Source organism: Homo sapiens, chromosome 14, assembly GCF_000001405.40.
Source record: "Homo sapiens chromosome 14, GRCh38.p14 Primary Assembly".
NCBI lineage: Eukaryota > Metazoa > Chordata > Mammalia > Primates > Hominidae > Homo > Homo sapiens.
The window spans coordinates 71580586-71598985 of NC_000014.9; the positions used below are offsets into that span (position 1 = coordinate 71580586).

Below are 18400 nucleotides of genomic sequence, written 5' to 3' on the forward strand. Positions count from 1 at the left end.
TTTAGTACTCTCTACTTTATACAGCCTTCTGTGATTTCATTTTAATTAGGGGATTTAGCACAAGAACATCTTACAGGAAGGACCTGACATCTGTTGGATTTTTACTTTTTTTGGTGATTTGAATGGCTGGAGGTTTAACAAAGTATAGTATCTTAGAATTAGTATTTAAACGTGTGGTCATCATACTGCATTCCCAGATCATATTTTATATTTTTAGCAACAGAAAGATGGCTTTTTTTCTCATAAGTTTTGTTTCTGATTATGAAGGTGACACATGTTCATTTCAGAAAATAAAAAATATAAATAAAAAAACAGAAATTACTCATAATCAAAAGACAAACATTGTCAGTCCTTTGGTGAACTAACTTTGCCCTTTTAATCTGTCTGCCTGCCTGCCTGTCTATCTGTCTATCTATAACATATCAAAATTTGTAATGTATTTTCAGTTTTTTATCCTGTATTCTTCTGAAATATGGGCCTGTTTGTCCCCAGTTATGTTCAATAGGATGCATGATATAAAATGTTTGATTTTTTTTTTTAAGTGAGTCCATGGTCAAATCAGTTAAGAAATTTCTTAGTTTAATAAAATTAGTGGTGGTAGTGGTGGTGTTTTCTGCTTTTTAATAAAAATAATGGGAACTCACTATGTTACCCAGGCTGGTCTCAAACTCCTGGGCTTAAGAAACCCTCCCACCTTAGCCTCCCAAAATGTTGGGATTACAGGCGTGAGCCACTGTGGCTGCAGATTTCTTGGAGGCTTTAATAGAGCAACATATATCACGATGTCCTAAGCAAGGTGATATATACAGTGTATTACTGCCTTATTTAATTATAGAATGCTTTTTCTGTGGGTTTCTTGAATTTGAGCATAGTTTGGGAAAAAGGACAAGCACTTACCCCGTGTGCTGGATACTTACTGGTTGTCCCGGGGCATCTATTTCTCACATTCCTCTTTCCCCAGATATATTTGGTAATAAGTTATTTAATACCAGATTTGATTTGATAATCAGTTGTTCAATTTACAGTATTGGGTGAATAAGTTTTTTTAATGTATTTTAAATGTATGACAGTTGTATTTTATCATACAATTATTATGATAAAAACACTCATTTACTTCTTCGGTCTCATCTGGTCTCTTGCTATCCTGATGGCAGGCATGGAAACTCTCAATGCCCCCAATAAGTTAGTGAGCTTTTGGTTTGTTTTCCTTTAAAGTGTTATTATAACTTATCACACCTCAAACACTATTTTCCTCTAATAATTCTGTTTCACTTTTACCTTTCTACTTACTACCTTTTACTCCTTTTGCCCTTCCTACTTTAAGCTGTCCCAACTTAGGTCTTTGATATTTTATTATGTGCTTATTGCATGAGATTAGTCATATTTAAATGTAAGAGATAAACATTGACATGTACTTCTGTTCTCCTTCATTTTGCCAGCTGTTGCATCAATTTACTACTTACCAATTATTCCACCATGGGTTGGGTGCACTGGCTTACTCCTGTAATCTCAGCACTTTGGTAGGATCCCTTGAACCCAGGAGTTAAAGATCAGCCTGGGCAACATAGCAATACCCTGTTTCTACAAAAAATTTTAAAAATTAACCAAGCATGGTGAGGCATGCTTGTAGTCCTAGCTACTCAAGAGGCCAAGGTGGGAGGATCACTTGAGCCTGGGAGTTCAAGGCTGCAGTGAGCCATGATCATACAACCAAACACCAGCCTGGGTGACAGAGCAAGACCCTGTCTCAAATAGTAATAATAATAATATTATTATTCCACCACGTAACTTGTTCCCGCATTCTTTATCATTCTTCTGCCCTCAAGCTTTCTGCCAAACTTTTGTGTTCTTTCCTTCACCTTCAGCTATACAAACTATATTCAAGCTTAACAAAACCTTAGAAGCGTAACTTTCTTCACTGAACTTTTTTAGCTACGAGGGTGAGTGGGAGGGAAATGTGATTTTCCTTTTTGATCCTTCCTGTGTCCAAACAGGCACATTTTAAGTTGCTTTCTTATCTCTAAATTCAAATACAGCTTTATCATGTTACATGTTTTGTATCTATAACTTTTCTATTCACTTTGTTAATTTTACCAAAAGTTTTTTTGACTCGACTTTGTTTCCATCAGTGTTGTCTCTTTCAGAGAGTGAACATTAGGAGAGCAGGAACTAGATTTATCAACTGTTTTTCTCAACTCTTCCTGCTTTTTGTTGAAGGGAGAATACAGAAATGAAAGGAGGTAGAAATTCCATTCTAAAAAGTTTTACGCTGATTCATAAATCTTAAATTATCCATGACATTGCACTAAGATGTGTTTCAGGCTAACTTGAAAGAGTGAGCCATCCCTTCTGTCTGAGATGCAACTTTTATGTAATGTGAGTGGAATTCAGGAAAGCCAAGAAGGGATGTAAAGAAAATAGTTTGCCTTATTTGATTATCTTAGCTCATCTAATATTCAAGTACTGTGAAGTTATATTTCTGTTTTTAAATAGTGTTTTATTACATTCTGAAGTAAGAATATTTACAGGCATTCTAAGTCTGTGTTTACAAGTTCAAAAACTATTTCTATTTTTTTGTTGTTTGTTTAAGAGCCTGGGTATTACCATGTTACCTAGGCTGGTCTCAAATTCTTGGGCTCAAGCCATCTGCCTGCCTTGGCCTTCTAAAGTGCTGGGATTACAGGCACAAGGCACTGTGCTGGGCCTGGAAATTTTCATAAATACTTCTGAAGTGTATATCTCTGAATTATTGGGGCATTTGAATAGTTATTCATCAGCACAGTTCCTTCTACTGCCCTGAAACATTGAGAGCTGGCGTTGTATTTTAGGCTGTACCAGTTAAAGAATCTGAGAAGATCTCATTTTGGAATGTGGAAGTATTTTATGAGGAACGCTACATCTTTCTGGTGACCCTACCATATTGCACTGTAATTCTTTCACAACAGGAACTGTAGTGTTCCCCCAACCCCACCCCCTTCCCACATCTTCTTCTTGTAACCTTTAAACTGCTCTTTATGCCCTTGGCACGATGTTGTTTCTTTCATTCTATTCCTTGAATTAGGAATAGAATGTGCTCCCTTCCTTACCACTTAATCATTTCTTGAAAAAAAATTTTTTTCATTATTCTGCTTGTTGGTTATTTCATTGTAAAATAGGTAAATAAAGAAGATGTCAAATGAGCACCTACCTCTATTTTATCTGAAGTTTAGTGGAGAAGATCATGACCAGAGATTTGGAGGTAACAGCATAGAGATGATATTTAAAGCTGCAGGCACCTACAGTATCAACAGACAGAGTACTGGTTGCCATGCAGATTTCCAGCCAGTAACTTAATTATTCTGCCTTTGTTCAGCTGCACAGACAAATGTGAGCCAGCCCAATCAACACTCTGCTTTCCACAGTGATATTATTACTCCAGTGGACCCATGCTTCTGTCTCATCCTAATACACTCAGTGCTCACATGCATCCTGATAGAAATACCTTTTATACCCCTTTCCAGAAATATGAAAAATGTCAAGAGAGATAAACCATAGACACCACCTTTTCAATGGACCCCAACTAAAGACTGAGTAGTGGGCAAAAAGAGGCAAGAGAAAATGAAGAAGCACATGGTTATCACAGAGGTCCAGAAAAGAGAGGTTCAGGATGGAGGATGGGTTCAGGAGTACAGATGCTTCACAGAGCCAGAATGACAAGGGATTTTTGGCAATCAAGAGATCCCATAAGAGGTTCTGCTTTCAGCATTCTCAGGGACTTGATATTCTAAATGGCTGACCTACTGTGGTACAATTAGTCCCAGCAGGAGATTGTAAGCTCTGTTATTAAAGAGCTTACAATCAAAATGGAAAGTGTATAGGAAGGAGGCATGACCCATGCATCCCCCGTCATCTTCTTACTTGTCTGTGTCTCCCTGCTACACCTGGAGCTTTCCTTGAAGGAGGGACTGGTGGATGTATGGTCCATGCTCTGAAGACACTACAGAAACACAGGGGGTGATTTGGATGAGAGGAGGAAGCATTTCTTCTGGAAGAATGGTGGGTTAGGTTGTGAGAGATCTTGAGTGATGAAAAGACTTTCAACTAGTTGAATTGAACTCATTGAACTAAACTGTGGGCCCTCTAGATGGAATTAGTATTCTAGCTACCTGGATCTACCATAGACTTAGATAGTATCTAGAGCTGTAAAATTAAACATGTAATAAGGAAAATTTTTATATAGCCTGCTCTTTCAACAGATGGAGGTGACATGCTGTGAATTCGTATTGCTCTTCTGTTTAATTCTATTGCTTTTTACCATATTGGTACTTAGGCAGGTTTGCTGATATTTAAGAGAGTTGCTGATCATTGTCAACATAGGTTTGCTGTTTCAGTCAACCCTAAGGAATAGATGTGAAGGTATTATTGATCTGTCATCATATGATACACATCGATGGACAGCATTATTTTTGACTGGTAGTTTAATAAGTGCAAAGCATGTATATTTCCATATATGCTAGTCAGTGCCCAAAGTTTATATTGTACCCCAAAGGGGTTTGATGCTATAAATAAGAATGAGAAAAGGGAGGGAGGGAGGGAGGGAGATGGAAAATGAGAGGGAGAAAAAAAAAACATAGAAAAGGAAGGTCCTTATGACTGAAAAAAAATCTGTTATTTAACATAATTGCCCATCTCGAACCTCATCAGTTTTTACAAGCCATTAAAACGTGGCTTCTCTCTCTCCCATGTGCTTATTTATATTTTGAAATGAAAAGAAAACATTGAGTCGTTGTTATATAATGTAATGGGAGTCTTGAAATTTCTTTTGAATTGGTAAGAAATTTTTATATTTAAAAATAAGATTTTATAAACTCATTAAAAATATTGGAAGTATATGAGATGGTTTGGAAGAGAAATACTGATGGTGGAGACTGAGCATTTCCAAGTCAGTTTTATTTCTTGTATTTTACTGCCAGCTTTTAGTTTCCTCCTCTAATGGAAATAACTTCACATATCCTGGGAAAGACAGCTGTGCAGTAAAGTATTTTCTAAGGCACATGAAATGTGGCAAGAGTTTTTATCATGGTGGGATTGGTGTGTTGTCCTTTTAGAGAATGAATGTTTGGGGAATGAAAGATGATTTATTTGGATTTCTGTGAGGTTGTGAGAAATGTTGAAAGCATCTAATTTTTATAAAATCTACTTTAGAAGTATTATTTATGCTATGTAGAGTATTCATTGAAATAATCAGCTTTTGGGGAGATGTTGAACAGGTGTTTGCATTTTGGTTCAGTTGTTCAATTTTCCTTCCATTTTATGAGAATCACTTCTTGAACCTTTGCTATGGCCATATATGCTGTCCTTTGATATCCTCGGAAGCAACAGTTAGCATGTTTTGTCACTTGAAGGGTTATCATTGAAAGAGGAACATGTAAAGTTCTGGAATGTAAAGGGAATAATAGCAGTCTGACAGTAGAAGTATCTAGAAAGCTCAAAAGCCATGTTTAATTAGGTAGCAGTGCAAAACTATTATCCCTTTTACAAAAGATGGTGAAGAGGAGTGCTAGTGAAAACAAATGGCATTTATCTGAATGGCTCCACAGACTCAGCCAGCACGAGCCCAGCCAGAGCTCGCCTCACCCTGCATTCTGCAGGCAGCATGCATTTTTTTTTTTTTTTTTTGAAACACCCCTACATGTTCCAGCCTTTAAATAGCAGCGAGTCTTCTAAAGTGATGCTGTGTGCTGCAAGAGAAATGAAAGCGCCTGCCTTGGAGGCAGGAAGCCGACTAGGGAGATGCTTAATTATCGTGGAAGTAGGTGCTTGTTACCATTGAGTGGAGAGTGCAGCAAGTGCAGGTCGTCCTCCGGTGTCAGAGCCGTGATTTGTAGACAATGCCGCCCTGTCAGCTCAGTGCTGGTTCAGCAGCATCTTTCCAAACATGTATTTGGCAAGAATTTAAAGGCCACCTCTTGTGTAATTTGTGGAGTCTTGGAAAAGGAGCCTCTGCCTTTCTTTTCAGAATGTACGCAACCATGCAGAATTTTGTACTCAGAATCTGTGTCTCCTGCCTTCTGCCTGACGTGCTCATGAGGAAGTTTGTTTCCATGCCCGTCACCTGGAAGGATGCTAACAGTTCTCTGTAATCTGTTGGGGATATGGAGAGGGCCACCCAGAGCTGTGTTTTGTTTCTGCCGTCTTCATAAATTAGCACTGATGGGGTGGAGTAGGTTGTACTGCATGAGGAAATGCAGGCATTTTGTTCATTAGTGAGATACTTCTAGCTTTTAAGAGTACAAGAAACTAAGGAGAGCTTGGGAAGAGGTGGTGGTGAATGCTGGATTCATTCTGCAATATCCTCGTCTCGGTAAGTAATAAAGTAGAGGAAAATACAAAAGAGTGCTAATGGATATAATGGCTCTGGGAAAACTCTTTTTATTTATTTTTTCCTGCTGTATTTGTTTTTGCCAACTATGTTAAGCCTTTGTAAGGAAACAAAAAACATGTATTGATTTTGGAATAGAGGAGTTAAAAAGTGATTGTTGCAGCATATTCAGTAAAGTCATTTTTCAGTTTTTACTTTTGTCAAAAAACTCTGTTGCTCTAATTATCTTATTCACTTGGTTACATCTCAAACTTCTGGTCATCACAGTAGCTCATGATGTTCTACATTTTTAGAGGTCATTGGAGCAAAAGTCTGTACTTTGGGTAGGAGCCATGATATCCAGAACAAGATGTACCCCTCCCCCTGCCCCCCATTTTATGAAACAGTTCAATTAAGATGAAGTCTTAATAGTTTTTTTTTTTAGAATATAAATTATGGATTTTATCAAATGGTTTTTACTTTCTTCCTTTCTTTCAAACCTGCTTTACTAAAAATACGGATTGTGGAACTGTGAATCCTAATCCATTATTGAGTCTTTTATCTTCATGTGTCTGGTTTTGACAATTGCATGTTTGTTTTTAGATGTATTTATCTGCTAATTCAAATTATCCTTTTCTCTTTTAGAGAAAGCATGGGATTATGGCAACCACAGAATCTCAGTAGTACAAGTTCCATTCAGTTTTTTCTGAAAGAAAGCCCTCTGTTAAAGTGAAGCAAAGAAACTGTTGTGGATTATAACGTTTAGAAGTTCCAATTTTTCAGTGCTTTACAAATAAAGCATCATTTAACCTTTTAAATGAAAAAGATTAAGATCTCATGCAACTGTTGTATTTTCTGGAAGCCATTCTCCAAAAGGGAAGTGCACATTTAAAACACAGATATGATGGTCCTTGCTGCAGGGATTTAAGTCTACTTGCTTTTACATCATGACCAGCTTGAAACGGTCACAGACAGAAAGGCCTCTTGCCACTGACAGGGCCTCTGTTGTTGGCACAGACGGCACCCCCAAAGTCCACACTGATGATTTCTACATGCGGCGCTTCCGGTCCCAAAATGGCAGCTTAGGATCATCAGTTATGGCTCCTGTAGGACCCCCCCGAAGTGAAGGTTCTCACCATATAACCTCAACCCCCGGAGTCCCAAAAATGGGGGTAAGGGCAAGGATTGCAGATTGGCCCCCAAGAAAGGAAAACATAAAAGAATCTAGCCGTTCAAGCCAGGAAATAGAAACCTCAAGTTGCCTTGATAGCCTGTCCTCCAAAAGCAGTCCTGTGAGTCAGGGAAGTTCTGTTAGCCTCAATTCCAATGACTCAGCCATGCTGAAAAGCATACAGAACACGCTGAAAAACAAGACAAGACCGTCGGAGAACATGGACTCCAGATTTCTCATGCCTGAAGCCTACCCCAGCTCCCCCAGAAAAGCTCTTCGCAGAATACGCCAGCGAAGCAACAGTGATATCACCATAAGTGAACTTGATGTGGATAGCTTTGATGAATGTATCTCACCTACATACAAGACTGGACCATCACTGCACAGGGAATATGGTAGCACATCTTCAATTGATAAACAGGGAACATCTGGAGAAAGCTTTTTTGATTTGTTAAAGGGCTACAAAGATGACAAATCTGATCGAGGTCCAACTCCAACCAAGCTCAGTGACTTTCTCATTACTGGTGGTGGCAAGGGTTCTGGTTTCTCTTTGGATGTAATAGACGGGCCTATCTCACAGAGAGAGAACCTCAGGCTTTTTAAGGAAAGGGAAAAACCACTCAAGCGACGTTCAAAATCTGAAACTGGAGACTCATCTATTTTTCGTAAATTGCGCAATGCCAAAGGTGAAGAACTTGGGAAGTCATCAGATCTTGAAGATAACCGATCAGAAGACTCTGTCAGGCCCTGGACATGTCCAAAGTGCTTTGCCCACTATGATGTCCAGAGTATATTATTTGATTTGAATGAGGCAATTATGAACAGGCACAATGTTATTAAGAGGAGAAACACCACCACTGGAGCTTCCGCAGCTGCCGTGGCATCCTTGGTCTCTGGACCTCTGTCTCATTCAGCCAGTTTTAGCTCCCCAATGGGCAGCACAGAGGACCTGAATTCCAAAGGAAGCCTCAGCATGGACCAGGGAGATGATAAAAGCAATGAGCTTGTAATGAGCTGTCCATATTTTCGGAATGAGATAGGTGGAGAAGGGGAGAGGAAAATCAGCCTTTCAAAATCAAATTCTGGCTCCTTTAGTGGATGTGAAAGTGCCTCCTTTGAGTCTACCCTTAGTTCCCATTGCACAAATGCAGGAGTGGCAGTACTTGAAGTGCCCAAGGAGAACTTGGTGTTGCACCTAGATAGAGTGAAAAGATACATCGTGGAACACGTAGATCTGGGTGCATACTATTATAGAAAATTTTTCTACCAGAAGGGTAAGTAGAGATCCTTTATTTCTTACATTTTCTTTTGCAGTACTTTCTGAAGAAAAGTACTGTATATTAAGATATTTATTAACAATGTGACATAAGATTTGCATGTCTTATCTTTCTTGATGGTAAAATAGCTAAATAACCATTTGCTCAATTTATTTCTTTTTGCATTTTTTGAGTTACTTTCTCCTTTCAGATATATAAATGTCTTGTATGTTAAATAGTACTTTTACAAATAAAAAGCCCCTTTGACTTAGCGATTGAAATTATAGTCTTTGTTGTACAGTAGATTTGCTGTGTCACCTTTAGGGATAAATATACCAAGTTGAAAATATTTGAAATATAGCTGTTGTTTAAGGATTGCAAAACAGTTTTAATGCTACTTTCATTTTTTATCACTTCCACAGTAAGTACAGGAATCATTTCTTTGCTGCTTCAATGTTGTCATCAGTAGGTGGTAATTATAATATATTCCTGTCCATTTACAGGAAGTATTGTGAAAACAAATTACATTATTTGACAAAAGTCACAGAGCCAATAAGTCTCAGTGCCAAGAATCAAATCTCGGTCTTTGAGTAGAAAAGGCACTGAAGAGAGAAGTACCTTTGACATAAGGGCCACTTCCTTTCTAATCTTTTCTTTGAGTGGGAGAGTAAAAAAAAAAAAAAAAAAAAAAAATATATATATATATATATATATATATATATATGTACACACACACACATATATACACACATATATACACACATATATATTTGAGATTATACACAGTTTTATCTCATACTTTTAAGAAAGACCATTGTGATTTACCGAAAAGTAAGTAGTATAAGTGAACCCTTACAAGCTTTTTGAGCAGCGTTAATTAAGGAATGAGTTTAAGTCATCCAGGTAGACAAACGAGGAAACAGGATGCTTACCCACGAAGGACATACCTCTGTGTTCCATTAGCTAGATTGGTCATCTCTGTAGCCAAGTGAAGAGGCCTGTGGCGAGAGGCTCCCTGTCTGCAAGCTATTCTCACAGTGTTTTGATTTCCACTGTTTTGGGGTTTTGAATGGTATTTAAAATTATTTAAAATTATTGAATGGTATTTAAAATTATGAGTGAAGTTTAGTTTCAAATATAGTACTCATAGCTTTATAACAATTGCTTTAGAATAAAGCATATCTTAATATTACTACATGATAGGTCCCATTCCAGAAGGCTTGTTGACGGAAACAATCTTGTCTCGTGACTAAACATCCATGTCTCATTCCTACATATCTATAGCGTGGGTCTTGGAATCAATATGTATTGCATACCCTGATGTCATTTTTAAACATTTATCTTCTCAGAATAATTTTCTGAAGTTTATATTTTAGAAATTACATCTCTGTTACACTGTCCTTTAAGGTACAAGGTTTCTCATTCTTGCCAACTTGGCATTTGGGGGTGCGATGATTCTTTGTTGGGGTAGCGTGGAGTAGGGGGCTGTCCTGTGTATTGTAGGATGTAGGATGCTTAGCAGCATCCCTGGCTTCCACACTATTAATGCCAGTAGGTTTTCCTCCTCCCTCTAGTTGTGACAGCCTAAAATGTCTTCAGGCATTGCCAAATGTCTCTTAAGAGGTAAACTAACCCCTAGCTGAGAACCCCTGCTTTACTGTACCTGTGCAAATTTTCTGCAGGTGTGTCTGAGCTGTCGATAGGTGGAGGCAAAATGGCCTCCACCCAAAACTGACACTGAAACATATTAGTTATAATCTAATTTATGTAATAATGGGTACTTTTTTCCTATTAGGCAGTATAATAATATTATTATAATAATGAACATTTTGGGTACTTACTGTGTACCAGGCACTGTACTAGGCATTTGCTATGCCACATTTTCTCATTTCAATCTCTTGATGCCCAGGAAGGTAGGTACTATTGTTAACCTTATTTTCCAGTTGAGAAAACTGGAGCTTAAGTGATAAGACTCTCATGGAGCTAGTAAATGTTGGAGCCAGGCTGTCTGAACAGAGTCATGTTCTTAATCACTGTTCTCTGATCTCTGCTAGGTTAAAGAGATGGAGAATCTTAAAGTATTTTATCTTTCAAAAGTCTGGAATAAAAATGTGAATGCCTAGATTCCAGATTAATCCTGTTTGTTCATAATAACCTCATAAATCTAATACCCACTAATCCAGTAGTTACTAACTTGAAGCATGGAAAATACCCTTTTACCCAGCATAATTGGAACTAGTGAATTGAAAATATCAACTCAAGCAGGGAATTGTTAAAAAGTATACATTCAAACTGTTTTATTATCATTAACACATATAAGAATATGTTTGCCAAACTCTTGTGAGACCAAGGGCTTTTCTTTGACAATGATTCTACTCTTTTAAATTCTTAATTGTGTTAATAGGCTAAACCATAAGAATAAAAACATAGAGACTAACAACATAATCTGAGTACAAAATCTTAGATTTCATAAATTTTTTCTCATTTTTTCATAGCTGTCCTGCCCACATTTAATCCAACAGCTTTCTTTTTAATGACTTGCCTTTATTAAGTTTGTATAAAGCCTTAGTTTTTAATAGGAACAACGTTTATCTTTTGTACTCATATTTCATCAGCTTTCATGATTAAATTTCATAATTAAAATAGCAAGTCAATTGGTATAAACAGCTCACTCTTTGTCAGCATGAGGTCCAGCTGGCAGGAACAGAAAGTATGTATGGCACCTAGGGATCACCCACTAGACTGCTAGTGCCATTGGGTATTTGTCAGCATGGTTTGCAGGGAAATTATGAGCAGTGGTTAATCCAGGAAGTTGTTCAGTGGAAGTCAGTTACACAGAGTGGTTACTGTAAGAGCTTTTCTTGGGCCACACAACTTTCAAGTCAGACAGGCAATTTGTTACAGTATGATAATATACCACAAATAGTGGCTCTGGATAACAAAATTTGGAGCAGAAATTAAGCTCTGTAAAGTATAAACTGTACATTTTAAAAATTGTTGTTTATACTTTTATATAGTATAAAACATATCTAAACAAACAACTCTGTCTTATAATAGACAACTTTGATTCACTGAAATTAGCAGACTAACTCATTTTTCCTAATCAGAACCTTAAAGCAAGTCTTCTTGTTGAAGGAGTACATCAGTGTCAGATGTAATTTATCCTCTAGCACCAAGGTGTGGCAGAGCTGACCTGGCTGTCACTCAGCCGCTTATCACCGGGTAGTTTCCATTTGGCTGCCTAATGCATTCCTGACTTCACTGTGGCTAAGTCTCAGGTGGGGAGGGGGTGGAGGGGGAGTACTTTACTAAAGTATGCTATACAGCTGATATTATATGTAAAAATCATATTTGGCTGATGAAGCTATAATCACTTTATTATTATGTTGTTTTTATAAACATTATTTTACAAATTTAGACTTCAGAGGCTATTTTAGTCCAACATAGAAGCCAGGTCCATTGCTGGAAAAATACTGGATCAGTAGAGGAATCCCATTGTTTGTATTTAGTAAAATAAGCAACATGCCATTGATGCTTTTCTTTCCAGTCCTTTCTCATGCCCACTTCTCTTTGCCATTTTGCTAGTGAGTGTATGTTTATATTGAGAACCAGGATTAAATGACAGTAATAATATAGCTAACATGCATCATGTTACTTCTTTGTACTTTATTGAGTTCCTCACTTAATGCCCATTGGACATTAAGGTGGATCTGTACTGGTGATAGAAGTCCAAGTGATAGCCACATCCTCCTTATGGAGGCACAGACTAGGCAGTAGGGCTGCATTCAGATTAACCTGAATTACTTATCTTCCTTTGAGTATGTATGTGTTTTGTGTTATTTATTTATTTATTTATTTATTTATTTATTTATTTATTGAGACAGAGTCTCACTCTCTCACCTACGCTGGAGTTCAGTGGCACGATCTCCGCTCACTGCAATCTTTGCCTCCTGGATTCAAGCGATTCTCGTGCCTCAGCCTCCCAGGTAGCTGGGATTACAGGTGTGCAGCACTGTGCCAAGCTAATTTTTGTATTTTTAGTAGAGATGGGGTTTCACCACGTTGGCAAGGCTGGTCTCAAACTCCTGGCCTTAAGTGATCTGCCTGCCTTGGCCTCCCAAAGTGCGGTATTACAAGCGTGAGCCACCGTACCTGGCCTTTTGTTTTCATTTAGATAGTCACCATGATCAGAGTACTAAGGAAATTTATAAGTGGAAAATACTAAGTTATAGAATAATTATAATGTTGCCTATATCCTGCATAGCTTGTTGAGGAGGAGACCCTTTCCAAGCCATTACTCATCTTGGTTTCTGTGGCCCCACAGGACTTCTTCAATTTTGCACCGAGTGTATAATTGTCTATGAAGTGTGTTCTCCTTGAATCCTATAGAGAGGAATGCATTAATGAAGACAGAGGAGCCCATGGGCTCTTGGCAGTGGCATTTGTTGCTCCACTGATCAACAGTGTTGATAGGCTTGTCTTCATGGTAGGTGGAGTGTTACTCTCAAAGTCAAGTTACTGAAGATGCTGTGATAGGGAAGGGCCTCCCTCTACTGCACACTGCCCAGGAGAAACACAGTATCTGGTCTGAAGCGCATCTAAGAGTATTTTCCCATTCCTTAAAAGAGGGACGACTAATGCTTATGCACCTAAATATTCTTTGGATAACTGTAAGCCACCAGATTTGATTGTTCTTACTGTTCACCTTCCTTCTCCTCCTCCTCCATTCCAAAACACATACAAATCAGGTTGAACAGTGATTGAGGAGACAAAGCACATTTCAGTTGCTGTTTTCTGTCTTTACCTCTCACCCTCTTGTAATCAGCCATCTTTAACATAGTTTCTTTAGAATACCACACTTATCTTGATTTGTACTAAAGTTACAGCTTTAGCACTCTCATATACTCTCAATTTTGCTATCAAGAGCTGTTTTTCAAGTTCCAGTCTGTCAAATAAGCATCATTAAATAGCTGTTATAAATTTTAGTGGATTATTTTTTAGTGCATATAGAACATCAGGGAATATGATTAGCTAAATATATTTCTAAAATTGTGTGCTTATTTTGTTTATTCAGTTTTTTTTGCTTTTTAAAAAATCCTTCTGCTATGTAAATATTAGGCTTGAGAAAAGTACCATAGAATGCCTTACAATTCAGTGTTCTTTAAATATAATTATTCTACTTCTAGTTTTTTGATGTGGACAGTTTTAGATTTCAGATAAATGGTAAACTCCAAGGTCAATGAGTCTGTTCTGCTGAACCATGTTGTGTTCTACGCTGTTGAATTTAGCAGTTATTTTCTGCCAAAATGAATTGAATGGTGAAAGTTTTTATACATATATAATAATTGTTTTAATGCCCTTGCCTTTCATGTTTTTATTGAAGTATTTTTCAATGTAGTTTCATTTTTAAACACTCTATTTATATATAATCTATGTAATTCATTCGAAGGTAGCTCTCTATGTATTCCCTCACAGGGAGATTTGAGGCACTAAATGCCTTCCTGAGAAGCTAAGCTAGGAGTGTGTTTTGCTGCTGTCCTTTTATCTGCTCAGGGCTTCCAGAAGCAAGAAAGCTAGTAGTAGGTATTGTGGTTTTGTGTGTTTGCTCTTTGGAAAGCAGAGGTCCTCTCTTTTCTTCACTGTGATCTCAAAGTCCCAGCGTGGCTCAGCTGCAAGCGTGGCTCAGCTGCACCCTGATCTGGAAGGCTTTCACAGTGCCTGAGCCTCTCAAGCCAGAGGTTTTTGGAAGCTGCTTAAAAGGGCGTGGGCTTCAACTGCTCCTACATGTGTTTTATTTTAAAATCAAGATAGGCCATCAAAGACCACACTAGTTCAACACTTGACTTTATTAAAGGTCATCTTTTTAAGAGCCAGTCATATAAAAACAGAGTTTGTTTTGCAGTAAAGCTGGTGATGAAGACATTTTCATTGTGTCATTCATCAGCCCCTTTAGAAAGTTCACGTGAAAAATTTATTTTAGAATTTGATGCCAGAAGTTGAAACCGGTAGCTACCAAATGCCTGCCTTTCTGATGATAGGTATTTTGTGTGTGTGTTTTGTTTCACTGTATGTCTAGTTTTACTTCAACTCCCAGAACCAAATTTGATGCTCAACTATACAGCTTTGATTATTAACACATCTGCTTCCACTTTCATCTTTTATTTTCCTATTCTGTTTCATTAGCATGATTTATATATATCCTGTATCATTAATGACCTCAATTCTTTTTGGAAAAAGATGATTAGCCTACATTTATATCCAAATAAAACGCCTTTGTCCCCAGGCTTTCTCCTTAGTTCCGGCTGCATTTCTCACCAGCTGTTAATCTGCCTCTACCCAGATGGCTACCTCATTGGCATCTGTAACCCATGTGCAGAGAGATTTGGAGTTCACCATTTTTTCCCCTCCTCATCATTGCTCTCCTTCTGTAAATTAAAGCTTCTTTGATGCCTCCTTTATCTTCATTGTGTTCAACCTACGATCTCTAGTCTACCTTCAAATTGCAGGTAACTTCTGTTCCTTCTGTCCCATTCCCAATTCTTTATGTAACTTCAGGGCCTCATGCTTCTTACCCAAATTCTAGGTTTCTTAGTCCCTTTATAGTCTACCCTGCTCAAAATCTAACCTTTTGTCTTTGCCAGATAGTCCTTTATTCAATCATGTAACAAACATGTGGGTCATCTGAGAGGCAGATGCTGAGACTATACAGGACTGCAAGTGGTTAGGGGCTTGGATGAGAGTAACTTAGGTCTGTGAAAGATAATTTCGCAGAGAAAGGCTTCAGTCCTTCAAAGGAAAGAGGAGACAAAGGAAGATTAGGCAGGGAGAGCCTCAGACCGTGATGCAGGTCTGACAAAGTGTCAGTCAATGCAAAGGGTCAAAAATGAGCATTAGAGAAGCATTACTAGAGCATTACTCCTTGTTGGGGAGTAATAGCCAGGTCCTGTTACCCCAGCATGCTCAGCTATTGACTAGGGGCTGCCCAGGAGGAGTGTGGCCCAGCTCAAAAATTGTAGTAGATTTGAAGGCACTGCATCCAGAGACTTTTAACTAATCCTATTTCTTGTGACCGAACTGGTTGCAGGTTCTTTCTAGAAGGGAAATCAGAGTGTTGCACCAACATACAAAAATGTATTATCCAATTTACTATTGTTAAGAGTACCTTCATTTTTTTTAAAGTAGTTTTAAAAATTAAAATAACTGCACATTTATTCACTCATTTGTCCATTTGTTCAGTCATTCAAATAATATTTAGCATCTATTTTGTGCCAGATACAGTGTCTGGAGGAGAACAAATAGAGATACACCTCTGCCTTCATGGTATTTATAGCCTCCAATTAGTGCAGTTAAGATGAATGGGAAGCTATTAAACAGACGTTTTTTAAAAAGTCTTCTACAATCTCTTTGCTTCCTTTGTTGGAACTCTGTTTTGATGGGTGGTGAACCCCTGGACTTATCTTCCCTTTTTTTCTCTTTTGTAATTTCAATTTCTTTTTATTTTTGTTCTGTACTCATCAATTTCATCTTATGACAAGCAGTTGCTATGTAGTTCTGTACGTTCTATCAGTCCTTTCAGTGAATTTTATTTTTAGCAGTCATATTTTTAATCCCCCAATAACTCATATTTTTTTTGTTTTTAGACAGGGTCTTCCACTGTCACAGGCTGGAGTGCAGTGGCGTGATTATGGCTCACTGCAGCCTCAAAGTCCTGGGCTCAAGGGATCCTCCCATCTCAGCCTCCTCAACAGCTGGGATCACAAGCGTGCATCATCACGCCTGGCTAATTTTTTTAGATTTTTTTTGTTTGTTTGTAGAGATGTGGTGTCACCATGTCACCCAGGCTGGTCTCAAACTCCTGGGCTCAAGCAATCCTCCCACCTCAGCCTCCCAAAGAGCTGAGATTATGTACGTGAGCCACTGCACCCGCCTTATAGTTATCTTTCATAATCGTTTTTTCTTATATAACCTCCCCTCCCATTTCTCTATTGGTATTAATTAAGATTTTTTTCTAAGTTCTTTTTCTTGAGTAACCTGTATCTTCCTGTTTGTATATTTTACTTTTCTTATTTTTCTTGTTTTTTCTTCTTCATGCTGTTAGTTGTCCAGTGATCTTTATCACATTTATGAATAAATGCTGAGGTGGCTTATTGTAAATGGCTTGGGTTCCCCTGCAGCTCCCCAGCTGATCTCTTCTTACATAGGAGAAGTAGTGTAACCTTGTATAGGAAGGTGTCCCTGTGGAGTAAAGGAGCAATGATCAGGCTGCACGATAGAAACCCACATGTGTGTCAAAATTAGAAGGGTTTTATCATGTTCCACTCTTGCATGGAGCTGAGTTTCCTTCCCCTGCCTCAGGGTATACACTGGAATAGGTTACTCTTCCTTTCCTCTCTTGCCTACCTGACAGGCTCCTGCCTGTCCTCCAGGGTTATGCAACCCTCTGAACCCCTCTCCTGCAAGGTTTAGATGCTCTCCCACCACTGACCTGACCCACCCTAGCACCTCTTGTTCTGCATGATGATTTCTATGCTGCATTAATTCACAGCCAGCCTAAGCATGCTTTGAAGGTAAGGGCCACAGAATAGAAGGTCAGGTTTTACAAATGAATGAATGTTTGTTGCTGAACAAGGCCTAAAATTTATTGAGTTGAGGAGCCAATATGTCTTGTATTCATAGCATCAGGAAGAAAAAGGTAGAGGAAGCCGTCTGTGTATATGGCCTTGTGTTATACTCCAGACACTGAATAATATGTTGCAGTTCCTCTTCCTCTCTTTTCAGGAAATGACATTACAGACAGGTCTGTGTGTGGTCATGGTGGTTACCAAGACCACCAATTGATCCCCACAGGCACAAAACGCCATCACAGAGACTGATTTTTACTATTGTAAACTTTACTGGACACAACTGATGGAAGCTAAAATCAGTGAATGACTGTTTCAGGAGAAATGGGAGGAGAAGCAGGATTTGCATGATCTCCAGGTATCTCCCTTAAGACATTCGTAAACTACAGGAGGAAAGATAGTAACTTTATGGTGGAGAAACCTGGCAGACACAGCCTTACCTAAGTGAATCAAGGTTGTTATGAACCTCAGGACGCACTGAGAAGGACACATCATTTCTGTAGTCCTCTTGCCCAAGAGGCACAACCCCAGCCCAATCACTTGAAACTATCAGACAAACCCAAATTGAGAGATAAATACTCTTCAAAGCTGTCAAGGTCATGGAAGACAAGTAGACTAAGGAACTCTTAGAATCTATAGGGGATTAAAAAGACATAACAACAAAATGCAACATGGGATTCTGAATGGGATTGGGGGGATTGCACATAGTGGAAACACTGGTGAAATTCGAATAAGAACTTTAGTTAATGGTATTGCACCAATGTTAATTTCCCAGTTTTATTTGTGAGGGAGGATATCCATCACCTTGAGTATCATTTCTATGTGTTGGGGACATTTCAAGGCCTCTCTTCTAGCTATTTTGAAATATATCAGTAGATCGTTGCTAATAACTATAGTCACTCTAATGTGCTATTGAGCATTAGAACTTTTATTGTCTAACTGTTTGTACTCATTAACCACCCTCTCTTCATCCTCCCCCACTTCCACCTACACACCCTTCCTGGTCTCTGAT

At 38.4% G+C, this 18400-nt stretch overlaps 1 protein-coding gene across 58 annotated transcripts in view; it reads left to right on the forward strand.

Annotated features, from left to right (window-relative positions):
- SIPA1L1 (signal induced proliferation associated 1 like 1) overlaps positions 1-18400 on the forward strand; it is a 420734-nt gene that overhangs the window by 260110 nt on the left and 142224 nt on the right. For 36 of the 58 annotated variants that reach the window (XM_047431217.1, XM_047431229.1, XM_047431218.1 and 33 more), the window contains one exon: positions 6986-8785. The exons of 18 other annotated variants lie outside the window; for them this stretch is intronic. In XM_047431217.1, coding sequence (XP_047287173.1) covers positions 7288-8785 — 1498 coding nt within the window. In that variant the 5' untranslated portion in view covers positions 6986-7287. Of the gene's footprint in view, positions 1-5712; positions 6344-6985; positions 8786-17645; positions 17747-18400 lie in introns of those variants that run through there. 4 more of the 58 variants (XM_005267516.5, XM_017021185.2, NM_001284246.2 and 1 more) reach the window with 2 other exon arrangements.